The following is a 22,266-nucleotide window of genomic DNA, read 5'->3' as shown; positions in this document are numbered from 1 at the left end:
TCTTTCCAAGGAAATTGACTAAACAGAAAAATATTTCGAAGGGCTAGAGTTCCATTTGCTTAATTTCTTACATTTTGGGCCCTGACTGGGAAAAAACAATGGACTGTGAAATGTTTGACTCCATAAACATACCTTCCTTCTGACTAGTTCACCCAGTAACGATGATCAGCTATCTGGCGCGGATGCCTTTAGGAATATTGCCTTGTATGGTAGGATATTTGTAGATGAATTGATAATGATAATAAGGACATTTGGGATAATACTCCCTCCCCATTTTAAAAGCATACTTTGAGTCATAAAAGGAGTTGTAAAAGAAATACCTATCAGAAAACTAAGAAACCTTAAAACATGAATAAGTACTTCTTTTCTTGTTTCCTTTTTTCTTTTTCTTGTTTTAAGATTATAAATTCACAGTTATAGTGAACCCTTGAAACAAATTAGTAGATATTTGAGGTTTAATATTTAAAACCTGGTCTCCTGGAGCTCTCAAGGCCACCTAGGGTAAAGGTCACCTTATGTATTAGTCAGGGTTCTCCAGAGGGATAGAACTAACAGGACATATGTGAAAGGGAGTTTATTAAGGAGAATTGGCTCACATGATCACAAGGTGAAGCCCCATGATAGGCCATCTGTAAACCGAGGAAGAAAGAAGCCAGGAGTGGCTTGATCTGAGTCCAAAAGCCTCAAAAGTAGGGAAGCCAACAGTGCGGCCTTCAGTCTGTTGGCAGAAGGCCCAAGAGCCTCTGGCAAACCACTGGTGTAAGTCCAAGAGCCCAAAGGCCAAAGAACCTGGAGTCTGATGTCTAAGGGCAGGAGGAATGGACAAAAAGCATGTACACAGAAGGAAGATGAAAGCCAGGAGACTCAGCAAGCCAGCTTCTTCCACCTTCTTCTGCATGCTTTGTTCTAGCCACACTGGCAGCCAATTGGATGGTGCACACCCACATTGAGGGTGGGTCTGCCTCTCCCAGTCCACTGACTCAAACGTCAATCTCCTCTGGCAGTACCCTCCCAGACATACCCAGAAACAATACTTTACCAGCTATCTAGGCATCCTTCTATCCAACCAAGTTGACACATAATATTAACCACATCTTATTTCTATTATATTCCATAGTGCAATGAACCAGAAATCAGAAAAAGCTGTTTGGCTTATTGATATGGAATTATTTAACAAGCTAGTTATCTTCACCCCCATGGGATGGCCTTGACAACTGAAAACTGTCAAATCCTTTTGGGATGCATATGATTAGAGGGAAGCCTTAAACTCTAAGAGTAGTTATATAACAAGAATAACCTTTCTCTTGCAAGATGGATCAAATTTTCTAAATGGCAGTGGATCAATATTTCATAGCTAGAAATAGCTAGAATGGATATCAGATATCACAATAATAAAATACCTAACGGTTATTATTTTCTTCTATATCAGGTGCTATACTTTGCATGCCTTATTTAATTTCATTCTTTTCAGCAGCCCTTGCCCTTTGTACTGTTCTTTCCCCCGTCTTAATGAGGAGTCTAAAACTAAAGAGGTTAAGGAAGTTGATTAAGGTTATATAACTCATTTTCCTAACACTTTCATCTTGCAATTATGGGTCGATTAGGTACTTTCAAGGTCATTTGTAAGTAGCAGTTTATTAGAAATTATTTTTCGGCATGGGATTTAGGAAGCAAACATTTCTGGTTGCCTGACCACAATTGTTGTTGGTTTTCAGACCTTTCACGATTTAATGTGCCTGCCGAGAAGTTCTTTTTCCCATTGCAAAGGCTCATAATACATGGAGACTCCAGAGCCCAGTTTGACTTTCCTGTGAGATGCTTATTGACTGAGCCATGGAAAACTCTGTGTTGCTGAAGAAAAATTAAGTGATGTCTTGTGTGAATAAGTCTCCTGTTAGTTGCTGAAGTAGGGGCTTAATGCTTGTTAGTTTTTTTCACTCCGCTCTGTAGGTCATGTCCACGTTTAATGTAGTGGCAGGCAAGAAAAATGATAAAGAGAGAATGTGCAGGCAGAACAAATAATTTGTCAAACAACTTCCTCTAAGCATTAAAAATTGATCAAGATAAATTATATCAAGTGTCCTGCATTTAATATGAGAACTTCATTAAAGATAATAAAGCTTTGATTAGCTTTGCTGTGGAAGATAATCTTCTGTAGGCAAATGCAGGATGCCTCCTGGCCTTAGCTCATGTTGCTTTTGGATCTTGTTGATGGGCACTTATCTATTCCCCTTAATGGAAAAGTCCCGTAGGCTGTGATGGTTGTGAGAATTGGCACCCACAGATTTGCTCAGGTTTCAAGAAGCAATAGTAATAGCAATATCCAGTAATAGCAAAATCACAAAAAATAGCAATACCAAAAAAGCATTTTTGGTAAGTGAGTAATAGTAATAGCTTTCTTTACTCCAGGTTTTGGGCCATTACAACTCTGTAACTTGGTTGTAAGGCAAATGATAATTCTTATTTGACAGGTAAGGCATGAGAGTATTAGAGAAGCTAAGTAAGGTGGCCAAATAACTTTGCTACAATGTGTAGAGATGCGACTAAACCCCAGGTCTGCCTAAACCCAAGTCCTGTTCTCTGAATGATTATGCTGTATTGTGCCTTCCTCTTTACAATGCCTTGAATAAAACATAAATGCTACATTTACTTAAACATTTCTCCCTTTTAAATAGAAGTTTGTTCTAATTTTCCAAGGCATAATTAAGCTGTCATGTATATAGGAAATTACAAGTTTGAGATAAATTATAGGTACAAACAATGGAGAATTAAAAATGCATATTGCGTTAGTAAGGATCTCAGCAGGAAAGGGATGGCATATTCGTATTAGGTAATTTGAGAAGAGTTTAATAAAGGGATTATTATAAGAGTATAGGTGGGATCAATGTCTTAGTCTGCTGGGCTGCCATAAGAAAATGCCAAAGACTGGGTGGCTTAAACAAAATAAATTTATTTCTCACAGTTCTGGAAGTTGGAACTCTGAGGTCAGGGTGCCAGGAAGGCTAGATTCTTAATGAGGGCCATCTTCTGACTTGCATATGGCTGCCTTCTTACTATATTCTCAAACAGCAAGAAGAGAAATGGGGGGAGAGAGGGAGAATGAGAGAAAGTGAGAGGAGGAGAATGAGAGAAAGAGAGAGTCAAGAGTCAAAGAGTTGAGAGAGAAAGAAAAAAAGGGAGAGAGAGGAGAGAGAGAGAGAGTGAGAGAAAGAGAAGAGAGGAGAAAGAAGAGAGAAGAGAGAGAGACAGAGAGAGCTTTGGTGTTTCTTCGTTTAAGGGCACTAATTCCATAATGAAGATCCTACCCTCAAGACCTTTTCTAAACCTAATTATCCCCCAAAGGCCCCATTTCCTGATACCATCGCACTGTGGAGGTAGGGCTTCAACACAGGAATGCTAAGAGGACACAATTCAGTCCACAACAATTAGGAAAACCACAGGGGATACTTCAGTACCCTGGGACTAGAAACATTAGGGAGTTATTCTTAGACCTGAAGGAACTAGAGAGGATTTGACCACTACTCTGGAAAGCCAGGAAATGGATGTGGTGTAGGCTACCTGACAGGACTTTGAACCCTGGCTGGGTCATGCAGCCAGCCAGCAGCAACACCATCGTAAAGGGAGTGGGGCCTCCACTCTTCTGCCTCCCTCTGATTTCCCCCTGTGTTTCTCAGTGGTGGATGCGAACTGGAAGCTAGTGAGAAGAGAAGCCCGTTGTTGTTGTTGTGTTTACTGCTCTGGTTGTCATCTTATTTTCCTTTGGATACCTGGAGAGATTATACTTCCTTGTCCCATTACAATTGTGTGGGGTCACATGGTTTGTTTCAGCCAATGAGTTGTGAGAGAAGTGACAGTCACTTCTAGACAGAAATAGTTAATTACTCATGCAACGCACTTTAAGAATATTTTTCCCCATTATCATAATAATCAGCAATATTTAGGATGGTTGCTGCTCTGTTAGCTGGTGCCAAGAGTAAAATCATGGCCATGTGGGATGAGAAAGAAATAGACCTTTGTTTTTAAAAGTCTCTTTGAGATTTTGGGATGGTTTGTTACCAGAATATAACATGCCCATCCTGATGGTCCTTATTTGCAGGAAGAATGAACAAACTTTTCCCTTTTAATTTGGACAGAACATTTGTAAAGCCTGTGATTACCAAAGGAGCTCATTTACATAATTCTGAAACTTTAGCTAGTCAATGTGTCCTTGTCATGACCTTAAAATTCACAAGTTTAATATTGTATTCTATCTCACAGTAGAAGGATTTCTAAATATAACTCTTATTAATGCCAATGCCTCTTTGCATATTGGAGTGACACTCTAGCCCTTGAAATTGTAAGTTTGAGTGAGAACAACGCATGAAAGACAGATCAGAATCAGGCAGGCAGCTTCTCCTGGGAGGATAGGAATTAATTTGAGTTTTGGATTTCTTCTTTTGATATTCTATTATTCTCAACAATAGTGAGTAATTTTAAGATGGAGAATTGAAGCTGCCCAGGCCTGTTCTATTTTCTCATGTCTAGTTCACTCTTGTTATTCAAATGTGTCTCTCATTTATTACTTTTATTTCTTGACAAATAGGCCTATAGACATGTACATTGCTTTTGTCCTGAATGTTAAACAGGAGTAAAAAGGTTCTCAGCACAGCAAATTTACAAGAGTGTGAAAATTCAAAGTTGAGTGCCCCCAAACCAAGACCATGCTTTAATTGCCTATTGTACTTCGTCTTGCTTTGGGGAAGGAGATATATATATATATATATAAATATATATATAAAATATATATTTATTTCATACATTTAAAGTTAAACCAAACTAATACAAATATTAACCAACTACAACTGTTAATCAATTTGTGTGTGTGTGTGTGTGTGTGTGTGTGTGAAATTATTTTGGGCACATACTACTAATACAGTCTTTGTCTATCAGTTTCAGTGAACAATTTGTAAGCCTACTGCTTCTCCCAGAGTGGGGGAAAGTGGGATCAGATATGAATATGTACTTCTCTATCTTGTCCACTGTGTCTCCCAACATTTTAGCAGCCAGCTCAAGAATCATATAAGCAAATAGCCAAGAATTTCAAAATGAGCTCTAGGATGTATGAAATATAAAAGGACTTTTCTAAGTGACATTATTACTGAAGATTAATGGATGAATGCATGCCTCAAAAAAGGATGAAAGGTAATTAGAATCTTACTGATTACTGGCTCAGAGAACAAGATGATCAAATAAAATTGGGGTGGGAGAGTTGTAAATAGTGTAGGGAGAAATCTGGCTGCTACATAAGAAATGGACTCTGGAAAAGAGAAAGACTATGTCTGTTTTGTTTGGTGGAGTTAGTGGAAAAGGTCTTTGGAAGAGGGTGTTGTTCTTGTGGGTTTCATACTTAAGAAACCCAGTCAAGTCAATTCCTGTGAGTTAACTTCATTACATCCAAACCTGACTTACTAGACTTCATATATTCTTTTAAAAATTTTTAATATTTTACTAATAGCAACATCTGTCATATGTTACCACATCAATTATTTTATTTTATTTTATTTTTTACTTTATTTTATTTTATTATTTTTATACTTTAAGCTTTAGGGTCCATGTGCACAATGTGCAGGTTTGTTACATATGTATACATGTGCCATGTTGGTGTGCTGCACCCATTAACTCGTCATTTAGCATTAGGTATATCTCCTAATGCTATCCCTCCCCCATCCCCCGACCCCACAACAGTCCCTGGTGTGTGATGTTCCCCTTCCTGTGTCCATGTGTTCTCATTGTTCAATTCCCACCTATGAGTGAGAACATGCGGTGTTTGGTTTTTTCCTTGCGATAGTTTGCTGAGAATGATGGTTTCCAGTTTCATCCATGTCCCTACAAAGGACATGAACTCATCATTTTTTATGGCTGCATAGTATTCCATGGTGTATAGGTGCCACATTTTCTTAATCTAGTCTATCATTGTTGGACATTTGGCTTGGTTCCAAGTCTTTGCTATTGTGAATAGTGCTGCAATAAACATACGTGTGCATGTGTCTTTATAGCAGTATGTTTTATAATCCTTTGGGTATATACCCAGTAATGGGATGGCTGGGTCAAATGGTATTTCTAGTTCTAGATCCCTGAGGAATCGCCACACTGACTTCCACAATGGTTGAACTAGTTTACAGTCCCACCAACAGTGTAAAAGTGTTCCTATTTCTCCACATCCTCTCCAGCAACATCAATTATTTTAAGAATTCGCTCATTTAATTCACAAGTTAAATTGTATATAGTTATGATGGAAAACATGATTTTTTGATATATGCATACATTGAAGAATGGCTAAATCCAGCTATTTACCATATGCATTATCTCACATACTTATTATTATTATTTTTTGCAGTGAGGATACTTAAAATATACTCTCAGCAATTTTTAAGTATAAAATATATTATTAGCTATGGTTGTCATGATGTACAATGGATACCTCAAACTTATTCCTCCTGTCTAATTGAAATTTGATGTCCTGTAGCCAACTCTGCCTGACCCCAACCCAGACTGCCACTCCACCAACCTCTGATAACCATCACTTTACTCTCTGCTTTTATGAGTTCCGTGGTTTTAGATTTCATATGTAAATGAGATCATGTAGTATTTGTCTTTTTGGTCCTGGCTTATTTAATGTAATGTAATGTCCTCTAGGTTCCTTCAGGCTGCTGCAAATGGAAGGAATTTCTTCATTTTTTTTAAGGCTGAATAGTATTATATTGTGTATACACACTACATTTTCTTTTTCCGTTCATCTGCTGATGGACACTTAGGTTGATTCCATATCTTGGCTATTGTGAATAGTGCTGCAATAAACATGGTAGTGCAGATGTCATTTTGACATTCTGGTTTTATGTTCTTTGGATATATACCCAGTAGTGGGATTTATGGATCATGTGTTTGGTAGTTTTATTTTTAATTTTTTCTGGAATCTCCGTAGTGTTTTTTACAATGGCTGTACTAATTTACATTCCCACCAACAGTGTACAAGGATTTGCTTTTTTCCACATTTTTGCCGATTCTTGTTATCTTTTGCCTTTTTGATAACAGCCATTCTAACAGGTCTGAGGTGGTATCTCATGTGGTTTTAATTTGCTTTTTCCCTGACAATTAGTGATGTTGAACATTTTTTTATATACTTGTTGGCTATTTATTTGTGTTCTTTTGAGAAATGTGTATTCATGTCTTTTGCTCATTAAAAAAATCAGGTTTTCTCACTATGGAGTTGTTTGAGATTCTTAATATTTTGGATATTAACTCCTTATGATATGTATGGTTTGCAAATGTAGTCTCCCACTCTTTATGTGAGCTCTTCACTTTGTTGATTGTTTCATTGCCTGTGCAGAAGCTTGTTAGTTCAATATAATCCCATTTGTCTAATTTTGCTTTTGTTGCCTGTGCCTTTGAGATCATATCCAAAAATCATGCCCCAACCAGTGCCATGGAGCTTTTTCCCCCTATGTTTTCTTCTAGCAGTTTTACAGCTTCGGATCTCACATTTAATTCTTTAATCATTTTGAGTCAATTTTTGTGTATGGTGTGGGAGGAAAGTCTAATTTCATTCTTTTTCGTGTGTATATGCAGTTTACCCAGTACCGTTTATTGAAGAGACTGTTCATTTCCCATTGTGTATTCTTGACATCTTTGTTGAAAATCAATTGTTCCTTCACATTTGGATTTATTTCTGGGCTCTCTATTTTATTCCATTGGTTTGTGTGTCTCCTTGTATGCAAATACCAGGTTATTTTGGTTACTATAGATTTGTGGTAAATTTTGAAATGATGCCTCCAGTTTTGTTCTTTTTGTTGAAGATTGCTTTGGCTATTTGGGGTCTTTTGTGGTTCCACATAAATTTTAGAATTTTACAAAATATTTCTATGAACAATTGCATATATTCTCATTCCCACGTCACACAGAGCCATCTTTTGAGAAATTCACCCCAACAGTTTACTTTTCTATCTTAGTCCCTGCCATCTTTAATGAATGCTATGTTAGGGAGATAGAAACAGTTGTTAGATTAACACAGATGGCTAGACAAGGGACTAGGAAACATAAATGGGGCAAGGAACTAAGAACTATATATGGGATAAATATGAAGGGAATCTGACATTTCCTAGCTAGTTCTGGATTAAAAATGAGTTGAGAGGTGGGTGGTTTAATACAAACTTCTTATACTAAATGGCCACACTTTTGGAAAGTATAAGTGCTGGGAAGAGAAAGATAATGTAGACTTTTTAGTTCAAATTTGTTGCTGTTTTTTTAAAGACCAAACAGCTGTTTACAGTTATTACCACAGTCTACAGAATATTCTGTAGCTGGGAAAAATAGAACCAGCATGACTATGCTATTGCAAGTAATTACACCTTCTACTTTATGATATTATGAATATTTGTGACAAGCTCTTGTCATTTTAGATAACAGATGGGTGCTTCTCTTGGTAATTTTAAAGCCCTTGATTGGCTGGACTTCTACATGTTCTTTATCAATATGTATTACATACATTTAATGGAGGACTCAAAATCATTCCTTGTCTTCTTTTTAGAAGATGAACAATACATAAGCCTACTCCTTTATATCAGTAAAACAACTTAATGTTGACCATCTACATTTATAGTATAATATTATGGCTGAGCAAAGTCTTCTTGAAGCCTTATAAGATCCTGAGCCACTAAGAAAAATTAAATTATGCTATCTATCGAGTGTATTCAGAAATTGTTGAATTAAAAGATCATCTGCCTTAATATTTAGCTAATCAGATAATTTAATTAACCATAGTTTCTCAATGTTTTAGCTTTCTGCATAATGCAAAATATTTAGATTAGCTGATAAAGTATCCAGTTAAAATACAAAATGAAATTTTAGACTGTAGCACACAAAGTGTATATCTAACCAGTTTCTTATTGTCATTAAAATATGTTTAAAAGTAGTTGTTAAATATATTTTTGTCACCAATTTTATTTCTTGTAAAATAAGGCAGCAAATGCAGGCATTCATTTGCTATACTGAAAACAGCCTTGAAATATTGGCTAAGAGGGTACATAATCTTTCATCTACGAGTGTTTTAATTATCTCACCACTTTGATGTTAGGAACCCAAGAATCAGAGTTCTACAATAATTATTTGGATTATAAAGGCAGGTATTGTTTCTGGTTTTCGTCTTTTTCAAAATGTGGTACTCTGTTGACATGGGTTTCATAGCATGTACTTTGTTAAAACTTACTTTGGTGCATAAGCTTTTTGATGTGCTACTGGATACGGTTTGCCAGTATTTTATTGAGGATTTTTGCATTGATGTTCATCAGAGATAATGTTCTAAAATTATCTTTTTTCGTTGTGTCTCTGCCAGGCTTTGGTATCAGGATGATGCTGGCCTAATAAAATGAGTCAGCGAGGATTCCCTTTTCTTCTGTTGATTGGAATAGTTTCAGAAGGAATAGTACCAGCTCCTCTTTGTACCTCTGGTAGAATTCGGCTGTGAATCTGTCTGGTCCTGGACTTTTTCTGGGTGGTTGGCTATTAATTATTGCCTCAATTTCAGACCCTGTTATTGGTCTGTTCCGATATTCAACTTCTTCCTGGTTTAGTCTTGGGAGGGTGTATGTGTCCAGGAATTTATCCATTTCTTCTAGATTTTCCAGTTTATTTGCATAGAGGTGTTTATAGTATTCTCTGATGGTAGTTTATATTTCTGTGAGATTGGTGGTGATATCCCCTTTATCTTTTTTTATTGCATCTATTTGATTCTTCTCTCTTTTCTTCTTAATTAGTCTTGCTAGTACTAGGTCTATCAATTTTGTTGATCTTTTCAAAAAACCAGCTCCTGGATTCATTGATTTTTTGAATGGTTTTTGTGTCTCTATCTCCTTCAGTTCTGCTCTGAGCTTAGTTATTTCGTGCCTTCTGCTAGCTTTTGAATGTGTTTACTCTTGCTTCTCTAGTTCTTTTAATTGTGATGTTAGGGTGTCGATTTTAGATCTTTCCTGCTTTTTCTTGTGGGCATTTAGTGTTATAAATTTCCCTCTACACAATGCTTTAAATGTGTCCTAGAGATTCTGGTATGTTGTGTCTTTGTTCTCATTGGTTTCAAAGAACATCTTTATTTCTGCCTTCATTTTGTTATGACCTGAATGACCCCATAGTCACTCAGGAGGAGGTTGTTCAGTTTCCATGTAGTTGTGCGGTTTTGAGTGAGTTTCTTACTCCTGAGTTCTAGTTTGATTGCACTGTGGTCTGACAGACAGTTTGTTGTGATTTCTGTTCTTTTACATTTGCTGAGGAGTGCTTTATTTTCAACTATGTGGTCAATTTTGGAATAAGTATGATGTGGTGCTGAGAAGAATGTATATTCTGTTGATTTAGGGTGGAGAGTTCGGTAGATGCTTATCAGGTCCACTTGGTGCAGAGCTGAGTTCAAGTCGTGGATATCCATGTTAACGTTCTGTCTCATTGATCTGTCTAATATTGACAGTGGAGTGTTAAAGTCTCCCATTATTATTGTGTGGGAGTCTAAGTCTCTTTGTAGGTCTCTAAGGGCTTGCTTTATGAATCTGGATGCTCCTGTATTGGGTGTATGTATATTTAGGAGAGGTAGCTCTTCTTGTTGAATTGATCCCGTTTCCATTATGTAATGGCCTTCTTTGTCTCTTTTGATCTTTGTTGGTTTAAAGTCTGTTTTATCAGAGGATTGCAACCTCTGCTCTTTTTTGCTTTCCATTTGCTTGGTAGATCTTCTTCCATCCCTTTATTTCGAGCCTATGTGTGTCTGTGCATGTGAGATTGATCTCCTGAATACAGCACACTGATGGGTCTTGACTCTTTATCCAATTTGCCAGTCTGTGTCTTTTAATTGAAGCATTTAGCCCATTTACATTTAAGGTTAACATTGTTATGTGTGAATTTAATCCTGTCATTATGATGTTCGCTGTTTGTTTTGCCCATTAATCGATGCAGTTTCTTCATAGTGTTGATGGTCTTTACAATTTGGCATGTTTTTGCGGTGGCTGTTCCTTTCCATGTTTAGTGCTTCCTTCAGGAGCTCCTGTCAGGCAGGCCTGGTGGTGACAAAATCTCTCAGTGTTTGCTTGTCTGTAAAGGATTTTATTTCTCCTTCACTTATGAAGCTTAGTTTGGCTGGATATGAAATTCTGGGTTGAAAATTCTTTTCTTGAAGATGTCGAATATTGGCCCCCACTCTCTTCTGGCTTGTAGAGTTTCTGCTGAGAGATCCACTGTTAGTCTGATGGGCTTCCCTTTGTTGGTAACCTGACCTTTCTCTCTGGCTGTCCTTAACATTTTTTCCTTCATTGGAAACTTAGTGAATCTGACAATTATGTGTCTTGGAGTTGCTCTTCTCAAGGAGTATCTTTATGGTGTTCTCTTTATTTACTGAATTTGAATGTTGGCTTGCTTTGCTAGGTTGGGGAAGTTCTCCTGGATAATATCCTGAAGAGTGTTTTCCAACTTGGTTCCATTCTTCCCATCACTTTCAGGTACACCAATCAAATGTAGATTTGGTCTTTTCACGTAGTCCTATATTTCATGGAGGATTTGTTCGTTTCTTTTCACTCTTTTTTTTCCTCTAAACTTCTGACTTTATTTCATTAATTTGTTCTTCAATCACTGATACCCTTTCTTCTACTTGATCAAATCATCTGTTTAAGCTTATGCATGCACCACGTAGCTCTCCTGCCATGGTTTTCAGCTCCATCAGGTCATTTAAGGTCTTCTCTACACTGTTTATTCTAGTTAGTTATTTGTCTAATCTTTTTTGAAGGTTTTTAGCTTCCTTGTGATGGGTTCGAGTATCCTCCTTTAGCTCAGAGAAGTTTGTTATTACTGACCTTCTGAAACCTACTTCTCTCAGCTCCATCCAGCTTTGTTCTGTTGCTGGTGAGGAGCTGTGATCCTTTGGAGGAGAAGAGGCACTCTGGTTTTTAGAATTTTCAGCCTTTTTGCACAAGTTGGCTTCATCCCTGGGATGCAAGTCTGGTTCAACATATGCAAATCAATAAACGTAATCCATCACTAAACAGAATGAAAGACAAAAACCACATGATTATCTCAATAGATGCAGAGAGGCCTTCAACAAAATTCAACAGCCCTTCATGCTAAAAACTCTCAATAAAATAGGTATTGATGGAATGTATCTCAAAATAATGACAGCTATTTATTACAAACCCACAGCCAATATCATTCCAAATGGGCAAAAACTGGAAGCATTCCCTTTGAAAACTGACAGAAGACAGGGATGCCCTCTGTCACCACCCCTATTCAACATGGTGTTGGAAGTTCTGGCCAGGGAAATCAGGCAAGAGAAAGAAATAAAGGGTATTCAATTATGAAAAGAGGAAGTCAAATTTTCCCTGTTTGCAGATGACATGATTGTATGTTTAGAAAACCCCATCATCTCAACCCAAAATCTCCTTAAGCGGTTAAGCAACTTCAGCAAGGTCTCAGGATACAAAAATCAATGTGGAAAAATCACAAGCATTCCTATATGTCAATAACAGACAAACAGAGAGTCAAATCATGAGTGAACTCCCATTCACAATTGCTACAAAGAGAATAAAATACCTAGGAATCCAACTTACAAGGGATGTGAAGGATCTCTTCAAGGAGAACTACAAACCACTGCTCAATGAAATAAAAGAGGACACAAACAAATGGAACAACATTCCATGCTCATGGTTAGGAAGAATCAGTATCATGAAAATGGCCATACTGCCCAAGGTAATTTACAGATTCAATGCCATCCCCTTTAAGCTACTAATGACTTTCTTCACAGAATTAAAAAAAAGTACTTTAAAGTTCATATGGAACCAAAAAAGAGCCCACATTGCCAAGACAATCCTAAGCAAAAAGAACAAAGCTGGAGGCATCACGCTACCTGATTTCAAACCATACTACAAGGCTACAGTAACCAAAACAGCATGGTACTGGTACCAAAATAGAGATATAGGCCAATGGAACAGAACAGAGCCCTCAGAAATAACATCACATATCTACAACCATTTCATCTTTTACAAACCTGACAAAAACAAGAAATGGGGAAAGGATTCCCTATGTAATATATGGTGCCGGGAAAACTGGCTAGCCATATGTAGAAAGCTGAAACTGGATCCCTTCCTTACAACTTATACAAAAATTAAGTCAAGATGGATTAGACCTAAAACCATAAAAACCCTAGAAGAAAACCTAGACAATACCATTCAGGACATAGGTATGGGCAAGGATTTCATGATTAAAACAGCAAAAGCAATGGCAACAAAAGCCAAAGTAGACAAATGGGATCTCATTAAACTAAAGAGCTTCTGCACAGCAAAAGAAACTACCCTCAGTATGAACAGGCAACCTACAGAATGGGAGAGAATTTTTGCAATCTACCCATCTGACAAAGGGCTAATATTTGGAATATACAAAGAACTTAAACAAATTTACAAGAAAAAATCAAACAACCCCATCAAAGTGGGCAAAGGATATGAACAGACACTTCTCAAAAGAAGACATTTATGCAGCCAACAGACACATGAAAAAATGCTCATCGTCATTGGTCATCAGAGAAATGCAAATCAAAACCACAATGAGATACCATCTCACACCAGTTAGAATGGCCATCATTAAAAAGTCAGGAAACAGGCCCAGAGTGGTGGCTCATGCCTGTAATCCCAGCACTTTGGGAGGCCGAGGCGGGTGGATCACGTGGTCAGGAGATCGAGACCATCCTGGCTAACACGGTGAAACCCCATCTCCTCTAAAAATACAAAAAATTAGCTGAGTGTGGTGGCGGGTGCCTGTAGTCCCAGCTACTCGGGAGGCTGAGGCAGGAGAATGGCATGAACCTGGGAGGTGAGGCTTGCAGCGAGCTAAGATCGCGCCACTGCCCTCCAGGCTGGGCAACAGAGTGAGACTCCGTCTCAAAAAAAAAAAAAAAAAAAAAGTCAGGAAACAACAGATGCTGGAGAGGATGTGGTGAAATAGGGAAGCTTTTACACTGTTGGTGGGAGTGTAAACTAGTTCAACCATTGTGGAAGAAGGTGTGGTGAAAGGATCTAGAGCTAGAAATACCATTTGACCCAGCAGTCCCATTACTGGGTATATACCCAAAGGATTATAAATCATGCTACTGTAAAGACACATGCACCTGTATGTTTATTGTGGCAGTATTCACAATAGCAAAGACTTGGAACCAACCATCAGTGAAAGACTGGATTAAGAAAATGTGGTACATATGCACCATGGAATATTATGCAGCCATAAAAAGGATGAGTTCATATCCTTTGCAGGGACATGGATGAAGCTGGAAACCATCATTCTGAGCAAACTATCACAAGGACAGAAAACCAAACACCGCATGTTTTCAGTCATAGGTGGGAATTGAACAATGAGAACATGTGGACACAGGGCAGGGAATGTCACATACTGGGACCTGTCGGGGGGTGGAGGGGGGCTGCGGGAGGGATAGCATTAGGAGAAATACCTAATGTAATTGATGGGTTAATGAGTGCAGCACACCAGCATGGCACAGGTATACCTATGTAACAAACCTTCACGTTGTGCACATGTACCCTAGAACTTACAGTATAAAACAAAACAAAACTTAATTTGGAGATGTAGTTGGAAACTGTGATAGTTGTATGGGGATAGCTTCTTATGGCTGTGTCAGGTACCATGTGAGAATGTATAAGGTGAGTTCTTGATGAGTCATGTTTGAAATACATTTGAAGTAAAACTAGTTTTAGTCAAGAAAACAAAACGGATACATTTGGTGTTTGGAGATTGCTTTGAGATAGGTCTGTCTCATATTAACTCTTTGCTTTTGGATACGTCTTTCTCATATTAACTCTAAAAGAGAGCTTCTTTATAAGAGCATTTGAATTAAGGGGAGGCAGAAGAAAGTTGTGATCCAATAATACTTATCCCCCACAAGATTATCTGAAAAAACTCGGACTTTTTTTTTTTTTGTCTACACAAAAATTGACTTTGATTGATTTTTGTTGCATTAAGTAGACAAATTCTCCAATGTGGATGGGTCCCATGAGAATGAAATAGAAGAGTTGGGCTCATGATGAAAATTAAGCAGATCTGCAGTTGGCAAATAGTCTTGTTTGTTTTGAAAATTAGTAACAGTTAGATTCGTTGTTCTCTTGGCCTTTTCCTTTCCATCCCTGATAGATTGATGTTTCCACCTGTCAACCTGAAGAAGTAAAAAGGACTGTGCATCTATAATATGTTTGTGACTATTTGATCACTGTAAGTAAAGGAGATCTGTTTTTTAAGAATCTTTTGGAAAAGGTGCCCAAAATTCCCACTGAACTGTTTTTTCCTTATCATCTTCCTTCCCCCAAGTAAATGAGTTAACAGTGGAACTTTTTCTTCTAATCTACCTCATGGAACACTAAGATGAGAAAAAAAAATTAGCTGTGTTATTTCCCCCTTTCATTTCATATTGCTTTTTATGGTAGATTTATGGTGTGCTACCCAAATTTCTTGCCTGGTCCTCCCCTTTTCCCTAGCATTTGCTACATTTAACATCAAAGCACTCATTCACTTAGCTGTTATTTAAAAAATTGAATTAAGATTTACAGTACACATGTTTAAATTATTTTCTACTTTATTGACAGCTCACAGCTGACTGCCTAACAAGGAATTACCTTCAGCAAAGGCAAGTCTTCTTGCCCAAGATTATGTCTCCTTTTCAGGAACATCCTATCCAAAGGCAGGCCAATGTGGGGCATAAGGGCTTGGCCCTCTTGCTTTTATTTGGGACATTCCAACTACAGAGAACCCCATGGTATCAGCCAAGGTCTCTGTCACAACTGCATCACAGTTCATGTTCTCATTTTGTCCAGTACTCTATCTTTCCCATCACTGCTCTTGGATTTTATTTTGAAAGTATTTCTTAATAAACCACCTGAAAACCTTAATCTCAGAGCCTGTTTACTAGGAAACCTGACCTAGGACAGTTGGTATCAGAAAATTCTAAATGACAGTTGTACTCTTAAATGAGATCTTGGAGATGCTTATGTGCAAGGCAGCCGGCAATAAGGACAACCATTACTGGTGGTATGTGGAATATAAATAGCCTGTGGCATGATGTAGCAGTCCAGTTATTCAAACTTCCATTGGTAGTAAACCAAGATCAGATGCTGGTGGAAGGAAATAAACTAGAAGATTCAATATCTCTGGTATTTAACAGCTTTGGGGGAAATAGTAATCATAAGGTCTGTGGAATTGAATGTCTCTTGCTGAGTGGCCTTGGTACAGTGGAGAAAGACAACAAAAGGCTGAGGGTGATTGATCAGTGACTTATCTGTGAAAGCCAAAGGACCTCAGTAGTAAGATATAAAGAAGTTCTAATTTCTGAAAGCCAGAGAAAAAGAAGTGCTGAATATCAGGACTTGAACTGGGCTTCCTGACAGCAGAGAATTTGAGTTCTCAAGGCCAGCAATTCTGCCATTCAAGGTAAGAATCTTGGTTGAGAAGGAATGGAATGCTGAATTTGGGCTGGGGACATTTGAGTCAAAGTAACTGCAACTTAAAACTTCCGACTTCTGGCTGTGCATGGTGGCTCACACCTGTAATCCCAGCACTTTGGGAGGCTGAGGCGGGTGGATCACTTGAGGTCAAGAGTTTGAGACCAGCCTGGCCAACATGGTGAAACCTCATCTCTACTAAAAATACAAAAATTAGCTGGGCATGGTGGCGGGTGCCTGTATTCCCAGCTACAGGCTGGGAGGCTGAGGCAGGAGAATTGTTTAAACCCGTGAGGCAGAGATTGCAATGAGCCGAGATCATGCCATTGCACTCGAGCCTGGGCGACAGAGTGAGACTCCGTCTCAAAAACAAAACAAAACAAAACAAAAATCCCTTCTGATTTCCGTGAACCTTCTGGGCCTATAGAAGTAGCTCATTCTGGTTGGGCGAGGTGTCTCACGCCTGTAATCCCAGCAGCACTTTGGGAGGCCGAGGCGGGTGGTTCATGTGAGGTCGGGAGTTCGAGACCAGCCTGGCCAACTTGGTAAAACCCTGTCTCTACTAATAATACAAAAACTAGCTGAGCATGGTGGCACATGCCTGTAATCCCAGCTACTCTGGAGGCTCATATGGGAGAATCCCTTGAACCTGGGAGGCGGAGGTTGCGGTGAGTGGAGATTGTGCCATTACACTCCAGCCTGGGCAACAAGAGCAAAACTCCATCTCAAAAAAAAAAAAAAAAAAAAAAAAAAAAAAAGGAGTAGCTCATTCCATCCCATTAAAAGCTAGCAAAACACATTACTTGAAGATGATGCCAAAATTAATATACCTAATCAACTTTCTTTTGGTTAGTGTTGGCAAGACATATCTTTTTTCATCCATTTACTTTTTAACCAATTTTTGTTTATATATTTAAAGTGAATTTCTTGTAAGGTGCAAATAGTTGCATCTTCCTTTTTTCTCTAATTTACAATCTCTGCCATTTAATGAAGACTTCAAATCATTTACATTTAATGTGATTATTGATATGCTTAGGTTTAAATCTTTTCTCTTGCTATTTATCTTCTATATGCCCATGTGTTCTTTGTTTCATTTCCCCCTTTTTCTGCTTTCATTTGGATTAATTGTATTTTTTATGATTCTGTAATTCTTTGCTATTTTAGGGGTTGATTTAGAATTTAAAATACAAACGTTTAAGTTATCACGGTTAACACTTAAGTGCTTTTATACCGTTCTATTCATAGTGAAAATAGTGTAAAAGCCTTAGTATAGTATTCTCCTATTTTTCTGTTCCTTTTTTTTTTTTTTTTTTGGTTGTTTCAGGTGGGAGTAGAGATTCAGTCTCAGACTTTATCTTGACTGAAATTAGAAGTCCTTTGTTTTATATAAGAATATACACCAGAAACAGCCTGTGCAGCAGTGGCACTAAACAACTAAATAGACAATTGTACTTTGAATAGCTGATGTCAAATTAACCACTCTGGTGCTGGAAGTAGCCATGTTGGCAAAGACGAAGGCTATTCATGAGCCCACAGCTTGGGCTTCAACTCACCTATGTTAATCCAGCTATGATACTATTTAGGTGTAACCTGCCAGCAATAGACAATTGCTGAGCCCTTAATATGACACCGTTCCTCAAGGCTAACTAGCCATTTGATTATATTGGACACCTCTCACCCTGGAATGAGAAGAGATTCATGTAGACTGGGATTGGAATTGATTTTGGGTATGATATAGGTTTTCCTGTTCATAGGGCTGAGGCTAGCTCCACTCTCCAAGGGGTTAGAAGTATCTGGTCCATGGATATGAATTTAACATAATGCATCATCAGACAAAGGAATCCACTTTACAGCAAACAGTGTAACTTTGAGCACATAGCTATGATATCCACTGTTCTATCTTGTACCACACCATCCAGAAAATACTGGCCTGCCAGAGTGACAGAGTGATAAATGAGCAGCTTAGTAAGGGCACAGAACATTCTATATGTTCTTAATCAATAACCATTATAATGTGCTGTATCCCTAATAAATATTCCAGACTACATAAGTCTGGGAACCAAAGAAGTGGTAGAAGGAATTGACCAGTTTCGCATCACTTTCAATGATTCCATTACAGAATTTGTCTTTCTTATCCCTACAACTTTGGGCTGTATGGGTCTAGAGATTATGACTCCCAGAGGGAGAGTGCTTTCACCAGGAGACGCAGAAAGGATCCTATTAAATTTTATGGCTGAGGTTTTAAACACATTAGAATCTTTGTGCCAAGAAGTCAGAAGGCAAGTAAAGGAGGCACGTAGTAGTGAAAATTGACCCTCATCATCAGAAGAGGGTAGGACTGTTGTCCTCCAGTGAACACCAGAGGATCCACTAGGTGTTTCTTGGTACACCTCCACCCACTTGTGATCATCAATCGACAAGTGCAGTAACTGTAGTATAAAAAAGCTGTGGTAGGCAGGGGCTTACATCCTGGGGCTTAGACTGGCAGAGGTGCTGAGTGTGGGGGAAATCTAGAATTAGTAACAGAGGAAAGAGATGATGAATATCAGTTGAGACACTGAGAAGAGCTGCAGTGGTGGAGGGATTGTCATTTATCTCACTAACCTTTCACTTGTGTGTGTCCCCAGGAAGAGAATGACCAAATCCTGGAGGAAGTATTCCCAGATGAGGTGGACTTAATTACTACTGATGGATATGGGTGGAACAAGGGGTAGACCCAAGAATGTGGTGGAGTGCTGCCCAGAACACTCACATCAGTATCAAGGCACTCATTCCACCAGCTTCTGGAAGCGTTAACTGCTGAGAGGGCACAGCTGAGACCCTCCCACAGAATGCCCTCGGCAGGAGGCCTTTGCCTCACCCAAGTTTACATTTGCTCTTCAGGAGTAACCTACATCCAATTACAAAGCAAGAATGTAAGGGCCTGTTCCCCTTGCCTCAATTCAGGGCAATGTAGAAGACTAGACTATTAGAAGAGTAGGCTAGTTTCAGAGATCTCCAAGGGATTGGCTGCGGCCAACTTTTTCAGAGTTCAACTTTTCCCACTGCTCACTTATTCTTCTTTCACTCTGTTACAAATGTTGATACTGAAATCACTTCCTAATGAACTTCATGCCTGCAAATTTCCATTTCAGAGTCTGTTCTCCAGGAAACTTAATCAATAGCACCTTTCCTTACCCTTATTTAATTTTATGCCACAAAACAAATTATCAGCCTTCAGTCAATATAAAATTGTACTTGGAGTATTAATATCAGATCTATAAGAAATTGTCATAAATGACTTGTTTTAGTGATCCAGAATTTATTAAGCTTTCTCTGGTAAGGGTATACTAATTTTCCTCTGGGATCCACTCCTTTTTCCCTTATTTTGTGTGCTTTGCATGACATTGACTTATTCCCAGCTCAAAAGATTGACTTGAGATTTAGGCCTAACCATTCAAAGTATCACTTTTTTCCTGAACTCTTCCAAAGTTCAGAAATAAATATGTCACTCAATAAGAGCCAATAAGGCACAACAAAACTTATGTGAGCAGCTAAGGAAAAAGATATGTGGACTTTGCCTTCTGGATTTGAACATGCAAGCCTGTGGTCTGGAACTGCTGGTAACCATTTTGCACTCTGGGAGAGTGGAACCAGTAGATGAAGGGAGTCTTCGTCTTTATGTCATTATTAAACTCCTGGATCAAGACATACCTGAAGCAAACATATTCTTGGAGTTTCAGTTGTATGATTTCAATAAGTTCCTTTTTAAAAATAAGCTATTTGTGCCGAATTTCCTGAAAGTCTCGTTGCTGAGGCAGTATCTTACTGAACTAAGTCATGGACGTGAAAAATTAAATTACTAAAAGTGCTTTGGATGGAGAAAGCAATTACATGAAGAGAACTCTGATCTGAAAAGTGTAAGGTGCCATTTTGAGCACTTCTAGGAGTTCTAAGGAAAGTTTAGGTCGATATTTTCCCTTATCTTACAATATGTTCCATTCTTGTTACCATGATAATTACTGTAATCATATCAGCATGGTCTAAAAAGGTCCTGCAGTTAATAGTGGAGAAAACAGGAACACTTTGTTATATTTTGCCTAATTGTTAAATATGGTATTTGCAAATCTAGAATCTTCTTCAGGATAGAGAAAAATGCCCCATTTATGGCATAATTGCACTGGCTAAGAACAGTCTATTTTAATATCTCTGAATCTCTATTTCCTAATGTGTACAACGGGGAAAATTCTTCCTGCCTAACACGAAAGTTGTAAAGATAAAATGAAATGATGTACACATAGGTACTCTGTATATTATACATGACTAAGTAATTGTCTGTGGCTATTGTTGGTGGGTATCCAGCAATAAATAAATAAATGATGCAATCCTAAATCTTCTAATTTGTTCATAGCTAAAACATAATATGGTATTTGCATAGATACCTAATTTTTTAACTTCTTAAGGAAAACAATAAATTGAAATATATAGGACAGTTATTAAGGAGTCATTGCCTATTTGTTTATTTATTTCAATTTGGCTTATTTGCAGTCAGATGGATAAGAGCCTTAGTTCTTAAAGAGATTAATCCTTAGAGTCTAGGAGCAAACATTATCCAGACTTCCTTTCTGGGACTCCTTCTTATTGTTTTTAAAACTTTTGAGAGTACCCTTAAGCACTGAATTTATGTCAGGATATTGAAAATGTCTGCCTATACAGAAATTTCTTCCACTAAACTGAGAACTCCTTGAGGCTAGAGGCTATCCGTATTTCAATATTCTCTCAATGCCAGGCAACTCACACTGATTTACACACTGCTAGTATTAAGTCTGTTTGTTCACGATTTAAATGTGTTGAATTTAAATTAAGGACATTCATTTTGTAGTTTTTATAACTCTCCTAACATATCTATTGTTTTTTGCTTTAGCTCTATTTTTGCTACCTGATTAATTTATAGTAGAGGATTAATCTAGAAGAAGAAGTTTTGATTATTAGATCAAACTTCCAGGGCTGTTCCTGGACCAGATGAGAAAGACAGATATTAAATTCCTTAGCAGTTATTTAAAATACTTCTTTTTGTTTTTTTGGAGACAGATAAAATCTCTCTTTATTGCCCAGGCTGGAGTGCAGTGGTGTAATCATGGCTTGCTGCAGCGTTGGCTTCCCAGGCTATAGCGTTCCTCCTGCCTCAGCCTCCCCAGTAGCTACAGGCATGCACCAACCTGCCTGGATAAAATTTTATTTTTTTGTACAGATGGAGTCTCTCTATGTTACCCAGGCTGGTCTTGAACTCCTGGTCTCAAGCAATCCTCCCGCCTCAGCCTCCTAAAATGTTGAGATGACGGGCAACGGCCACCATGTTTGGTGATTTAAAATACTTGTTCACAACAGTAATGTGTGTTTGATGGGAAATTTAAATATGTGGAATAGTAGAGTGTAAAAATTACTAATAGCATTGGGAATCTAGCATATATATATAATATTTATATATACAACATGAATGTCCTCAATTTAAATTAAACAAATTTAAATCATGAACAAACAGACTTAATACTATCAGTGTTTAAATCAGTGTGAGTTGCCTGGTATTGAGAGAATATTAAAATACTTATAGCCTCTGGCCTCAAGGAGTTCTCAGTTTAGTGGAAGCAATTTATGTATAGCATATACATATTATATATTATAATATAGCATATATATATGCTATAGATATAGCATTGGGAATGCCATGCGCGCACACACACACACACACACACACACACACACACACACAGAGACAGAGGGAGAGAGAGAAAGA

General features: G+C 38.0%; 2 long non-coding RNA genes across 3 annotated transcripts in view; both read left to right on the top strand.

Annotated features, from left to right (window-relative positions):
• Window positions 1–22,266, top strand: part of LOC105377700 (uncharacterized) — a 348,217-nt gene that overhangs the window by 188,131 nt on the left and 137,820 nt on the right. The window lies entirely within an intron of this gene.
• On the top strand, window positions 15,204–15,944 carry LOC124901125 (uncharacterized). Its single transcript, XR_007059028.1, has 2 exons — window positions 15,204–15,270; window positions 15,642–15,944. It is a non-coding gene; the product is annotated as an uncharacterized LOC124901125 (long non-coding RNA).

Source organism: Homo sapiens, chromosome 5 (assembly GCF_000001405.40).
Source record: "Homo sapiens chromosome 5, GRCh38.p14 Primary Assembly".
In the NCBI taxonomy this organism is placed as follows: Eukaryota; Metazoa; Chordata; class Mammalia; order Primates; family Hominidae; genus Homo; species Homo sapiens.
Note: the sequence above shows the minus strand (reverse complement) of the source record. Positions and strands in the feature narration are given on the sequence as shown.